Genomic DNA, 15,288 nt, shown 5'->3' on the forward strand with positions numbered 1-15,288 from the left:
CCTGAATTTGAATGTTGGCAGGGTTGGGGAAATTGTCATGGAAAATATCTGCACAAATGTTTTCCAGGTTGCTTGCTTCCTCTTTGTCTCTCTGAAGGATGTCAATAAGTCACACGTTTGGTTTCGTTACATAATCCACATTTCTCAGAAGTTTTGTTCATTCTTTTTTCTTTCTTTTTGTCTGACTGAGTTGAAGAAACGGTCTTCAAGCTCTGAGATTCTTTCTTCAGCTTGGTCTGCTGTAAGTTTTTGCAAGTGTATTATAAAACTCTTGTAGTGAGTGTTTCAGATCTATCATTTCAATTTGGTTCTTTCTTAAAATGTCTATTTTATCTTTCATCTCTTGTATCATTTTATTTTATTACTTAGGTTCCCTGAATTGACTTTCAACTTTCTCCTGAATATCAATGATCTTTGTCTCTAATCATATTCTGAATTGTATTTGTGCCACTGCAGCCATTTTATTCTAGTTAAGAAGCACTGTTGGGGAACTATTATGATCCTTTTGAGGTAAGAAGACACTCTGGCTTTTTGCTTGTCAGAGTTCTTACATTGGTTCTCATCTGTGTGGGCTGATGTTTCTTAAGTCTTTGAACTTGCTGTCTTTGGATGGTTTTGTTTTGCCTTCATATTCTTTGATGTCCTTTATGGCTTCATTGTGGTATAAAATGGGTTCAGTTGACTGGCTTTGTTTCTGGAAGACTTCTGGGGGTAAAGTCTTATTAGCTCATCACTCCTGGGCTGTGTGCTCTAGCTCCAGGAGGCTGGTCCTGGGTCCCTAGCTTTGTTCTCTGGCTCCTCAATGTAAGAAACCTCCCACACTGGGAGGGCTGAGGTATTCCCAGGTCTTTGGCAACAACTCTCATGGAGAGTGCCAGTCACAGTGCTACACTGGGGCTGTGGCAGTGGGGTCCATGCCTGTTCGCATGTGTCAGCAGGAACAGCTGTGCAGCAGGGTGCATGTGAGTTGACAGGGGTGGGGCACCAGTGGAGGCAGAGTGCTATTGTCATGCATGTTCTTGTGCTGGCAGCTGCAAAACACAATTCCTGTGTAGCAGTGGGTGTGGGGCACTGGCAAGGGCAGGTTGCTGGTGGGGGCAGAGCAATGTTGTTTGTGTATGGGTATACTGGTGGGGGAGGAGAGGCAAGGTGCACCTGCATACATGTGTCAGCACACAGTCGGAGGGGTTTCCATGTGGAGCGTATATTGGCAAAGTTATGAGAGGAGGCTGTGGCGGGAGGATGCTGCGGCTTGGTGGCTGCACATTGGTGGGGGACAGGAGCTATGATGATGACCCCTGCATCCAAGGCTTCTCTGCAACCAGTAACAGCAAGGCTGAGGCCCCAGGAGATGCTGGCGGACAGGAAGGCACCAAGATCAGACAGATCCCATCCAACAGGTAAGGCTACTCTGTTCTGTCCAGGTCCAGCAGTCATCAAATGCTAATGCCACTTAGAGGAGCATGGTGAGCTTTGGTGATAGGTGGGTGTCCCTGACCATGTTCCACTGAAGCAATTCCCAGGCCAAACCCTCTGGGGTCTGCACAAGCTGGAGTCCTGTACCTGCTACATATCTAAACAGCTCTTCTTGTCAGCTCAAGTCTTCTTGGGGACCACGGGGTCTCCTGTAGCTAGGATTCTGGGAGGCTGTGGTGAGAGTGGGCCACTCCTTCCCTGTTCAAGTCACCTCTTCTGCAGGAGCTGCTGGGGACCAGGAACAAGTCCCATTGCTTGGCAGCTCTGTGAAGTGTTCCCAGTTTCCTCTCTTCAGCTTAGGATCTGTGTCCTCTTTCCGTCCACTCTAAATGTCTTCTCTCCAAAGATCTGCTTGGGGTGTGCCAGTCTTCCCAATGGCCTGGTTTGATCTTGATCAGTGCGAGCTATTCCTCCTAGTTGTGTCTAGTCAGCCATCTTGCACAAATTTTTAAAAATAGAAATGATATGTCTGCTCTCAGACCACAATGGAATTAAACTGGAAATCAATAACAGGAAGATAGGTGGAAAAATTCCAAAACTTAGGGGTTAAACAATACCTTTCTAAATAACATGTGGCTTAAAGAAGAAATTGCACAAAAAATTTAAAAAATTTTTGAACTAAATGAAAATAAGAATACAACCTGTCAGAAATCTGTAATGCAGCAAAATCAGTGCTTACTGAGAAATTTATAGCATTTAATTTATATAGGAAAAGAAGATCCAAAATCAAAAATTTAAGCTTCTACCTTAAGAAACTAGAAAAGCAAGAGACAATGAAATTCAAACTAAAGGGGAAAATAAACAATACAAATAAAAACAAAATTAATAAAATTGAAAGCAGTAAATTGATAGAGAAAATCAATGAACCAAAATATCATTATCTGAAAAAATTGGTGAACCTTTATCCAGACAAATTAAATAAAAAGAAAGGAAATCACAAATCACAAAACCAGAAATGCAAGAGAGGACATCACTGTGAATCTCATGGGCATGGAAAGAATAATAAAGGAACACTATGAGCACTATATGCACACAAATTTGATAACTTAGATAAAATGGACCAATTCCTTGAAAGATACAATCTACTAAAAGTCATACAAGAAGAAATAAACAATCTGAACTGGTCTATAGCTTAAATAAATGAAAATAATAATTTTAGAACTTTCAAAAGAGAAATAAACAGGCTCAGATGTGTTTACTGGTGAATTCTACCAAACATTTGAGAAATAAATCATGCTAATTCTTGAAAACAAAAGCAAAAGTAATGATTTCTAACTCTGTAAAGCCGGTAATACTTTAATAACAAAAGCAAACAAAGATATTTTAAAAAACTACAAACCAATCCCATCATAAGCATAGGTGCAAAAATCCTCATACAAAGCCAATCAAATGTAACATTCTATAAAAAAAAAAAAATAGGCACCAAGACCAGTTGGAATTTATCCCAGATATTCAAGGTTGGGTCAACATTTGAAAAGTAACTAATACAATTCATCACACAAAAGGCTGAAGAAAAAAACATAATCATATCAGTAGATGCAGAAAAAGCATTTGAAACAATCTAACATTTACCCATGATACAAACTCTCAGCAAACTAAGGAGGAGAACATTCTCAACTTGATAAAGAATATCTACAAAAAACCTATAGCTAACAACATATGTAATGATAAGAAACTAGAAGATTTCCTACTAAGATTAGAATAAGGACTCTGTATGTTTGGGAGAAAATAAGGGAAGAGAACAAGAGTCTCTGCCTGGTGATCCAGTGAATTCTCTTGGATTTTGTACAAGACCAACAAGATGATAACTCTATGAGTCTGCAAGAACCACAGCATTACTAGGTGTGGGATGTCCCCTTAAGCAGATACAGCTTAGATTAAAAACATCCAACTCCTTTCAAATATCTGGAAAACTTAGTCTAAAGAAAAATGGCTACAAATAACCACAAACAGATCACAGATAAAGATCCAGGCACATCTACTACTTTTGCTGTATCCCATCAAAAAAAGAGGGAAAACTTCAAATAAGCAATCTAATGATTCATCTTAAAGGACAAGAAAAGCAAGAGCAAACCAAACCCAAAATTAGTAGAAGAAAAGAAATATAAAGATGAGAGCAGAAATAAATAAATTTGAAATCCCATTTACAATAGCCACACATAAAGTTAAATATCTAGCAATTAACAAAAGAAGTGAAAGATTTCTATAGTGAAAACTATAAAACACTGCTGAAAGAAATTGAAGAAGACAGCAACAAATGGAAAAATATTTCATATTCATGGATTGCAAGAGTCAATATTGTTAAAATGTCCATACTACCCATAGCAATCTACAGATTCAATGCAGTTCTTACAAAATAGCGATGACATTCTTCACAGAAATAGAAAAAACAATCTTCAAATTTATATGACACTACAAAAGACTCAAAATAACCAATTTTTTTTCTGAGCAAAAAGAGAAAAAATGGAGGAAAAACATTACCAGACTTCAAATTATACTACAGAGCTACAGTAACAAAAACAGCATGGTACTTGCATAAAAACAGACACATAGACCAATGAAACAGAATAGAGAACCCAGAAAAAAATCCACACACTGGATTTTCAACAAATGTGTCAAGAACATACACTGGGAAAAAGACAGTCTCTTCAATAAATGGTACTGGGAACACTGGATATCCATATGCAGAAGAATAAAACTAGACCTCTATTTCTTAGCATACCAAAAAACAAATAAAAATGAATTAAAGACTTAAATCTAAGATCTCAAACTATGAAGCTACTAAAATATTGAGGGAATCCTCCAGGACATTGTTCTGGGCAAAAATTTTTTGAGCAATACCCCACAAGCACAGGCAACCAAAGTAAAGATGAACAAATTGGATCACATCAAGTTAAAAGGCTTCTGCACAGCAAAGAATACAATCAACAAATCAAAAAGAAAACCCACAAAATGGGAAAAAATATTTGCAAACTACCCATCTGACAAGGGATCAATAAGGATAATATATAAGGAGCTCAAACAGCTCTATAGGAAAATTTAATAATCCAATCAAAAGATGGGCAAAAGATTTGAATACACATTTCTCTTAAGAAGACATACAAGTGGCAAAAAGACATATGAAAAGGTGGTCAATCCTGCTAAGGGACAGACTGCCTCCTCAGGTGGGTCCCTGACACCCATGCCTCCTAACTGGGAGACATCTCCCAGCAGGGGTCCACAGACACCTCATACAGGAGAGCTCCAGCTGGCATCTGGGGGGTGCCCTCTGGGACCAAGCTTCCAGAGGAAGGAGCAGGCAGCAATCTTTGCTCTTCTGTAGCCTCCGCTGGTGATACACAGGCAAACAGGGTCTGGGGTGGAACTCCAGCAAACTCCAGCAGACCTGCAGAAAAGGTCCCCAACTGTTAGAAGGAAAACTAACAAATGGAAAGCAATAACATCAACATCAACAAAAAGGACGCTGATGCAAAAACCCCATCCAAAGGTCATCAGCATCAAAGACCAAAGGTAGATAAATCCATGAAGATGAGGAAAAACCAGCACAAAAATGCTGAAAATTCCAAAAACCAGAATGCCTCTTCTCCTCCAAAGGATCACAACTCCTAGCCACCAAGGAACAAAACTGGACAGAGAATGGGTTTGATGAACTGACAGAAGTAGGTTTCAGAAGGTGGGTAATAACAAACTCCTCTGAGCTAAAGGAACATGTTCTAAACCAGTGCAAGGAAGCTAACAACCTTGATAAAAGGTTACAGGAACTGCTAACTAGAACAACCAGTTTAGAGAAGAACATAAATGACCTTATGGAGCTGAAAAACACAGCATTAGAACTTTCATGAAACATACACAAGTATCAATAGCTGAATCAATCAAATGGAAGAAATGATATCAGAGATTGAAGATCAACTTAATGAAATAAAGCATGAAGACAAATTTATATAAAAAGGAGTGAAAATGAATGAACAAAGCCTCCAAGAAATATGGGACTATGTGAAAAGACCAAACCTACATTTGCTTGGTGTACCTGAAAGTGACGGAGAGAATGGAAATAAGTTGGAAAATACACTTCAGGATATTATCCAGGAGAACTTCCTCAACCTAGAAAGACAGGTCTACATTCAAATTCAGGAAATACAGAGAAAACTACTATGATACTCCTCGAGAAGAACAATCCCAAGGCTCATAATCATCAGATTCACCAAGGTTGAAATGAGGAAAAATATTAAGGGCAGCCAGAAAGAAAGGTCAGGTTACCCTCAAAGGGAAGCCCATCAGACTAACAGCAGATCTCTTGGCAGAAACCCTACAAGGCAGAAGAGAGTGGGAGTCAATATTCAACATTCTTAAAGAATTTTCAACCCAGAATTTCATGTTCAGCCAAACTAAGTTTCATAAGTGAAGGAGAAATAAAATCCTTTATAGACAAGCAAATGCTGAGAGATTTTGTCACCACCAGGCCTGCCTTACAAGAGCTCCTGAAGGAAGCACTAAATATGGATAGGAAAAACCAGTACCAGCCACTGCAAAAACACACCAAAATGTAAACAACATTGACACTGCATTAACTATGTGAAAAATAACCAGCTAGCATCATAATGACAGAATCAAATTTATACGTAACAATGTTAACCTTAAATGTAAATGGGCTAAATGCCCCAGTTAAAGACACAGAATGGCAAATTGGATAGAGTCAAGACCCATTGGTATGCTGTATTCAGGAGACCCATCTCATGTGCAAAGACACACATAGACTCAAAATAAAGGGAAGGAGGAATATTGACTAAGCAAATGGAAAGGAAATAAAAAAGCAGGGGTTACAATTCTAGTCTCTGATAAAACAGACTTTAAACCAACAAAGATCAAAAAAGACAAAGAAGGGCATTATGTAATGGTAAAGGGATCAATGCAACAGGAAGAGCTACTAGCCTAAATATATATTCACCCAATACAGAAGCACCCAGATTCATAAAGCAAGTTCTTAGAGACCTATAAAGAGACTTAGACTCTCACACAATAATAGTGGGAGACTTTAACACCCCACTGTCAATATTAGACAGATCAATGAGACAGATAATTAACAAGGGTATTCAGGATTTGAACTCAGCTCTGGATCAAGTGGACCTAATAGACATCTACAGAACCCTCCACCCCAAATCAACAGAATATACATTCTAGTAAGAACACATAGCACTTATTCTAATATTGACCAGATAATTAGAAGTAAAACAATCCTCAGCAAATGCAAAAGAACTGAAATCACAACAAACAATCTCTCAGACCATAGTGCAATCAAATTAGAACTGAGGATTAAGGAACTCACTCAAAACCAAACAACTACATGGAAACTGAACAAGCTGCTCCTGAATGACTACTGGGTAAATAACCAAATTAAGGCAGAAATAAATAAATTTTTTGAAACCAATGAGAACAAGACACAATGTACCAGAATCTCTGGGACACAGCTAAAGCAGTGGTCAGAGGGAAATTTGTAGCACTAAATACCCACATGAGAAAACAGGAAAGATCTAAAATAGACACACTAATGTCACAATTAAAAGAAATAGAGAAGCAAGGACAAACAAATTCAAAAGCTAGCAGGAGACAAGAAATAACTAAGATCAGAGCAGAACTGAAGGAGATAGAGACACAAAAAATCCTTCAAAAAATGAATGAATCCAGGAGCTGGTTTTTTGAAAAGATCAACAAAATAGGTAGACTGCTAGCGAGACTAATAAGAAAAGAGAGAAGAATCAAAGAGACACAATTAAAAATGATAAAGGGGATATCACCACTGATCCCACAGAAATACAAACTACCATCAGAGAATACTATAAACACCTCTATGCAAATAAACCAGAAAATCCAGAGGAAATGGATAACTTCCTGGACACATACACCCTCCTAAGGCTAAACTAGGAAGAAGTCGAATCCCTGAATGGAATAATAAGTTCTGAAATTCAGGCAGTAATTAATAGCCTCCCAACCAAATAAAGTCCAGGACCAGACAGATTCACAGCGAATTCTACCAGAGTTACAAAGAAGAGCTGGTACCATTCCTTGTGAAATGATTCCAAACAACAGAAAAAGAGAAACATCTCCCTAACTAATTTTATGAGGCCAGCATCACCATGATACCAAAACCTGGCAGAGACACAACAAAAAAAGAAATTTCAGGCCAATATCCCTGATGAACATCGATGAGAAAATTCTCAATAAAATACTGGCAAGCCAAGTCCAGCAGCACATCAAAAAGCTTATTTACCACCATCAGTCAGCTTCATCCTTGGAATGCAAGGCTGGTTCAATATATGCAATCAATAAATGTAATCCATCACATAAACAGTACCAATGACAAAAACCACATGATTATCTCAATAGATGCAGATAAATCCTTCAATAAAATTCAACACCCCTTCATGCTAAAAACACTCGATAAACTAGGTATTGATGGAACATATCTCAAAATAATAACAGCTGCTTATGACAAACCCAAAGCCAATATCATACTGAATGGGTAAAAGCTGGATTCCCTTTGAAAACCAGCACAAGAAAAGGATACCGTCTCTCACCACTCCTATTCAACATAGTATTGGAAGTTCTGGCCAGGACAATCAGGCAAGAGAAAGAAACAATGGATATTCAAATAGGAAGAGAGGAAGTTAAATTATCTCTGTGTGCAGATGACATGATTCCATATTTAGAAAACCCCATTGTCTCAGGCCAAAAACTCCTTAAGCTGATAAACAACTTCAGCAGTCTCAGGATACAAAATCAATGTGCAAAAATCACAAGCATTCCTATACACAAATAATAGACAAACAGAGAGCCATATCATTAGTGAATTCCCATTCACAATTGCTACTAAGAGAATAAAATACCTAGGAATACAATTTACATGGGATGTGAAGGACCTCTTCAAGAAGAACTACAAACCACTGCTCAAGGAAATAAGAGAGGACATAAACAATGGAAAAACATTCCATGTTCATGGATAGGAAGAATCAATATCATGAAAATGGCCATATTGCCCAAAGTAATTTATAGATTCAATGCTATTCCCATCAAGCTACCATTGACTTTCTTCACAGAATTAGAAAAAAACTACTTTAAATTTCTTATGGGACCAAAAAGAGTCCATATAGGCAAGATAATCCTAAGCAAAAAGAACAAAGCTGGAGGCATCATGCTACCTGACTTCAAACTATACTACAAGGCTACAGTAATTAAAACAGCATGGTACTAGTACCAAAACAGATATATAGACCAGTGAAACAGAACAGAGGCCTCAGAAATAACATCACACATCTACAACCAACTGATCTTTGACAAACCTGACAAAAACAAGCAATTGGGAAATGATTCCCTATTTAATAAATGGTGATGGGAAAACTGGCTAGCCATATGCAGAAAACTGAAACTGGAACCATTCCTTACACCCTATTCACAAATTAACTCAAGATGGATTAAATACTTAAACATAAGACCAAAAACCATAAAAACACTAGAAAAAACCTAAGCAATACCATTCAGGACATAGGCATGGGAAAAGACTTCATGATTAAACACCAAAAGCAATTGCAACAAAAGCCAAAATTGACAAATGGGATCTAATTAAACTAAAGAGCTTCTGCACAGCAAAAGAAACTAGCACCAGAGTGAAAAGGCAACCCACAGAATGGGAGAAAATTTTTGCAATCTCTCCATCTGACAAAGGGCTAATATCCAGAATATATAAGGAACTTAAACAAATTTACAAGAAAAAAACAAACAACCCCATCAAAAAGTGGGTGAAGGATATGAACAAACACTTCTCAAAATAACTGCAAATTTTTAAATTATAAGTGTATTTGGGTTGTTTGCAACTCAATGGATAAATGTTTAAGGGGATGAATACCTCATTCTTCATGATGTGCTTATTTCATATTACATGACTGTATTAAAATATCTCATATATGCCATAAATATGTATACCTAGTTAGGACCCAGGAAAATTAAAAAATAGGTTTTTTTTTTTAAAAAGAAGAGACAATGTATACAGATTGGGAAGGAAAAGTAAAACTGTCTTTGTTCACAGTTGACATAATTGTCTATGTAGGCTATTCAGAATAATAGACAGATACTCCTGGAAATAATAAATTATTACATAAAGGTTGCAGGATATGAGGTTAATATACAAAATTCAATCTCTTTGTTACATACCAGCAATGAGTACTTGGAATCTTAAGTTTAAAACACAATACAATTTATATTAACATCCCCCAAAATTAAATACTTGGGGGTAAAATGAAAAGAAATATGAAGAGAATCTATATGAGAAAAACTACAAACCTGTGATGGAAGAAATCAGACAAGAAGACACAATATTGTCACAATGTCACTTCTTCTCTTGGCCTATAGCTTCAACATAATCCCCATCAAAATGTCAGCAAGTTATTTTTTGAATATCAACAAATGGATTCTAATGTTTATAGGGAGAGGCAAAAGAATCAGAATAATCAACACAATAATGAAGCCAAAACGCACAGCTGAAGGATCGACACTACTCAACATCAAGACTTACTATATATCCACAGTATTAAAGGCAGTGCAATATTGCTGAAAAAAATAGACAAATAGATTAATGGAACAGAGTAGATAGCCCCGAAATAGACCCACAAAGACAGAGTCAACTGACTGTGCCAAAACTGCTCTTTTGGCAAAAGAACAATGGTAATATAATGGTAAAAAGAGTCTTTTAAAAAATAGTATTGGAAACTAGAACTTTTCATTGCAAAAAAGTGAATCTAGACAGAGACCTTACACCTTTCACAAAAATTAACTCAAAATGAATTATAGACATAGGTGTAAAATGCAGAACTATAAAACTTGTTGAAGATAACATAGAATATCAAGATGACATTGAATATGGGAATGACTTTTTAGATACAACCCTAAAGGCACAATCCACGAAAGTACTAATGGACAAGCTGAACTTCATTGAAATTAAAACCTTCCACTCTGATAAGCCATTGTTAGGAGAAAAAGAAGACAAGCCACAGACTGGAAAGAAATATTTGCAGAAATAATATCTGATAAAGGATTCTCATTTAAAATATACAAAGAACTCTTAAAACTCAACAGTATGAAACAAACAACCTGCTTTAAAAATGGAAAAAGAATCCAAACAGACACCTTACCAAAGAAAATATATAGATAGCAAATAAGCATATGAAAAGATGCTCAATATCATCTGTCATTAGGGTAGTGCAGATTAAAGTAACCAAGAGATACTACTACATATCATTAGAGTGGTGAAAATTCAAACACTGACAAAACCAAATGCTAATGAGGATGTACAGCAACAGGAAGTCTCATTCATTGCTGGTGAGAATCCAAAATGGTACAGCCACTTTGGAGGACAGTTTTCAGGTGTTGACAAAACTAAACTTTTACCAATAATCCAGCCATTGTGTTCCTTGGTATTTACTCAAATGAGCTGAAAACTTTCACCCGAAAACTTGCATGCTTATAGCACTTTTATTTGTAATTACCAAAACTTGAAAGCAGCCAAGATTTCCTTTAATAGATGAATAGACACATAAACTGTGGAACATCCTCACAATGGAATTTTATTCAATGGTGAAAAGAAATGAGCTTTTAAGGCATGAGAAGATGTGGAGGAAATTTTCACTCATTACTAGGTGAAAGAAGTCAAATTGAATAGGCTAAATAATATATGATTCCAACTACATCTGAGAAAGACAAATCTGTGAGGACAGAAAAGATACCAGTGGCTGCCAGGGGTTGTGGGGGAGTGAAGTATGAATAGGCAGAACACAGAGGATTTTTAGGGCAGAACGAAACTACTCTGTATAATATTATAATGGTGGAACTTGTCATTATACATTTGTCAAAACCCATAGACTGTAAAACACCAAGAGTGAACCCCTTAATGTAAACTGTGGACTTTGAGTGATAATGATGTATCACTTTAGGTTCATCAATTGTAACAAGTGTATACCACTCTAGTACAGGATGTTGATAGCAGGGTCAGAGAGTATAGAGGAACCCTGTGGTTTCTGCTCTATCAACTTTGGTGTGAAGGTAAAACTGCTCTAAAAAAAATGTGTGTGTGTGTGTATATATACATACTTTCATCTAAATATATTATGTTCAAATACATATGCTTATAGCATCATTATATATATCATAAATATGAATATATATATTCAGATGATAGTATATCCTGCCTATAATATTGATAAAACACATTTTAAAATTTAGATTTCAATCACTCATGAAAAGAAGTTATTTTAAAATAAGCTAAAATAATTTGTCTATATACCACCAATATCCAATTAGAAAATACAGGAGAAATGCATTTTATTCAGGAATTTTGACAATACAAAAATACAAGACATCCAGTAATAAACATCAAAAATGTGCAGAAATAACATGATATACCTATAAAATTTATTAAAATATACAAAATAAAACAGCTACCTTAATATGTTCACTCATAAATTAACAAGATGAGGTATGAGAATAATTTAAAATAATTTGTTTCTTAATTCATTCTTAAAATAAATAAAATAACCAAATTTCATTAAAAAACAAATTGATTGAATTAAACATTTTGAGAAAATAATTGAAAGATATTTTTCTCAAACATTTAAATATAAAATTGAATATTTTATAAAGAACGCAGGAATAAATATGAAATCAACAAAAATTTTAGAGGTCAGTTAAATTATTGGTATTAATAGGATACACAATAAAATATTATTTAAACCAGCAAGGGAAGGAAAAGATACTTTATTAATCTGGAAATATGTATTGAAGGAAAAAAGCAGAATCACCTTACTCTATTATACCTAGTATCAGAAGAAAGTAGAGATAAATATTAATAGTATAGATATATATTCATATGCAGAAATAGCAAATTAATAGTTATGGCTGTAGAAGAATATAAAATTATTGTATAATGTGTCATAAATAAAATCAAAAGTAAACCAAAAATTGGAAATCTAAGCTGATAATTATTATTGTCCTTAAAAACAGGATGTCTATATAGAAGGAAAAAGTTAAACATCCAAATTTTAAAAGTAGCAAAATAAGATGAACTGGCAATTCACAAAAAAAATGAAATATAATGATTAATAAACTTATGAAAAAGAGTTAAAACTGCAAGTGATCAAAAGTGTGAAAATTTAATTACTAATGAGAGTCTTCTTTTTATATAGTGACAATATTAAAGGTTAAATAAATATATATATGTGTATATATGTATTTTACATTGTTTATGTGGAGGAAATTATACTGTCATAAATTGATAATCAGTGTGTAAAATAATGAAATTTATTCTGGAAAATAATTTGGCAGTATCAATCAAAATACTTAAACATAAAGTGCATTTACTTCGAACCAGCAAATAATAAATAATCATACATCTTTAGAGTTATGGTAGTAAAAACTATAGACCACCAAAATGTTCAAAAACAAATTTGGCAAAATAAATTCTAGTACATTAGTATGGTATACAGGCTTCAAAAATATTTAATTACATAGAAAATTATTCATGAAGAATTGTTATCAAAAGGATGTTATAGAATAGTACACATAGCAGAATCCAAACTTTATACATCCAAACTAGCAAAAAACACATAAATGATTGTATATAGGCAGATATATATACATACAGCAATAGTTGTCCTGTATTTTAAGATCACAAGTCGTTTTGTGTTTTTTGTAAAGTTTTCTATTTTGGTAACATACTGATTCAAACAATAAAATTTGAATTTTGACCTTGATTAAAAATAAAAAGACTTGGCCGGGTACGGTGGCTCACACCTGTAATTTCAGCACTTTGGGAGGCTGAGGCAGGCAGATCACCTTAGGTCAGGAGTTCAAGATCAGCCTGACCAACATGGTGAAAACCCGTCTCTATTAAAAATACAAAAATTAGCCAGGCATGGTGGCAGATGCCTGTAATCCCAACTACTCGGGAGGCTGAGACAGGGAGAATCACTTGAACCCAGGAGGCGGAAGTTGCAGTGAGCTGAGATCATGCCACCGCACTCCAGCCTGAGCAACAGGGCCAGACTCTGTTTCAAAAAAACAAAAAATAATAAATAAATAAATAAATACATAAATAAATAAATATAAAAAGACTTAATCTGCCACACTGATTGGACATAAGGGGTATCGCAATTCAATTAATAGTAAAATGTGAAACACAGTTTAACACTCAATGACATGTTATTTTAAAATTTTTGACGCATTTAGAATGAAGTGTTAAAAAATAGTAACTTTACTAATACCACTTTATATAATGGTATACAAAATTGGCACTATTAAGCCCTCTTCCCCCCAAAATGTAATTATTGCTAACTTTCAAATTATTTTGGTTTGATAAATTCAGAAATTCTGAGAATGATATTCTAGGGCACCCACTAAAAGCATAAATGATTGATTATCTTGATTATCATTATGGAGGACATTATTTCCCAAATCAGAGTTATCCTAGCTCCTATGTTTCAGAGGCTGATACTTCAGATGAAGGTGAAAGAACAGCCAGCCATCTATAAATGTCAGTATAAAAGTGCTGAATAACATTTGTGTCCATCATTGTACTTCCCTGAAGGTGGGTGTTTATGAGAAGTGGCCAGAGGATAAAAGTAAGGTGTGGAATTGAACAACCCCCCATTGGTAACTTACATCCTGAAACAAGAGATTTGATTACCCTTATCATTATTCGCTTGCTGAAAAGAGCTCCCAAAGCTATTAGTGGTCATAAGATTACTCAGCTGTTTTTTAAATTCAACCATCGTATTTGACTCAGTGACCTCTTCAGTCAATGAATTTCACAGGTTGACTATACACATTCATAAGGCATTATTTACCTCAATTTGTTCTGAATTTACTGCTCCTTATTTTTATCAAGTATCTCCTTGTCTTCATCTTATTATGGGACAAGGTTAAAAAAAAGTGTCCTTTGTAATTTTCAATGCTTTAGTCAAGGATTTTTCTAAAATACATCAGATTTATAACTGTTTCTTAGGAAAATGAAAAATCTAGCTACAATCCATCTATTCTCTATTGGTATTTTATTCTCAGTACGATTTCTTATTACTTGGCTTTGAATTCAATACTCGTTATACTTCATCATTCTATTTCTTTCATATTATTAACAACACAAGAATGACAACATGAACATACAATTTTTTTCCAATAAGAAAATCCAAGTTCATAATGACATCAAGATCAGGAATACTGTGATTTTCTCTTAAATGAAGCATCAGTCTTGGTAAAACTGATACATTCAAAATACTTAAATTCCAAGCCAAGTGGAGCACAGTTGACTAGTATACTGTTCAATAACAGTATTTTTGGCATTATCCTTTAGAGGAGATTCTTTCTGCTAGATTGTTCTGGAATGACTTAGATTCACAAAAATCAGATGAATGGATAAGCTGATCATTTAGTCATGCAATCCTATTGTAATTCATCTAAACAAATGATCTTGTGTTTTGCCACAGAGTTGCTTTTCATAAACTGGACGGATCTTTCTTACCACAACATTCAGAGATACACTAAATGCTCATAGAGGTAATTTCTATATAGGGAACGCATATTTTCCCAATTTTTTTGTAGTTACAAATAATTATGCTGAATTTAAATTAGCAATTTTCAATTGAATAGGTAGGTATAGTTTTCTTTTACACTGTGCATTCTTTCATAGTTGAAAATGTTTACAAACCCTGTTGTGTGTCATCATGTTCATTCAAGACTTCCTCGTTCATGTAATAAAGTTGTATGAAATTACTTTAG

At 35.1% G+C, this 15,288-nt stretch overlaps 2 annotated features.

The window, feature by feature from the left end:
- Window positions 514-1,035: an enhancer, noted in NCBI's record as "H3K27ac-H3K4me1 hESC enhancer chr4:105169645-105170166 (GRCh37/hg19 assembly coordinates)". NCBI's record gives its function as "activates a minimal SCP1, AML or CMV promoter by ChIP-STARR-seq in naive H9 embryonic stem cells {active_cell/tissue: H9 hESC(naive)}" and the evidence as "EXISTENCE:reporter gene assay evidence [ECO:0000049][PMID:30033119]".
- Window positions 1,036-1,556: an enhancer, noted in NCBI's record as "H3K27ac-H3K4me1 hESC enhancer chr4:105170167-105170687 (GRCh37/hg19 assembly coordinates)". NCBI's record gives its function as "activates a minimal SCP1, AML or CMV promoter by ChIP-STARR-seq in naive H9 embryonic stem cells {active_cell/tissue: H9 hESC(naive)}" and the evidence as "EXISTENCE:reporter gene assay evidence [ECO:0000049][PMID:30033119]".

The sequence above is a fragment of the Homo sapiens genome, chromosome 4 (assembly GCF_000001405.40).
Source record: "Homo sapiens chromosome 4, GRCh38.p14 Primary Assembly".
Taxonomy (NCBI): Eukaryota; Metazoa; Chordata; class Mammalia; order Primates; family Hominidae; genus Homo; species Homo sapiens.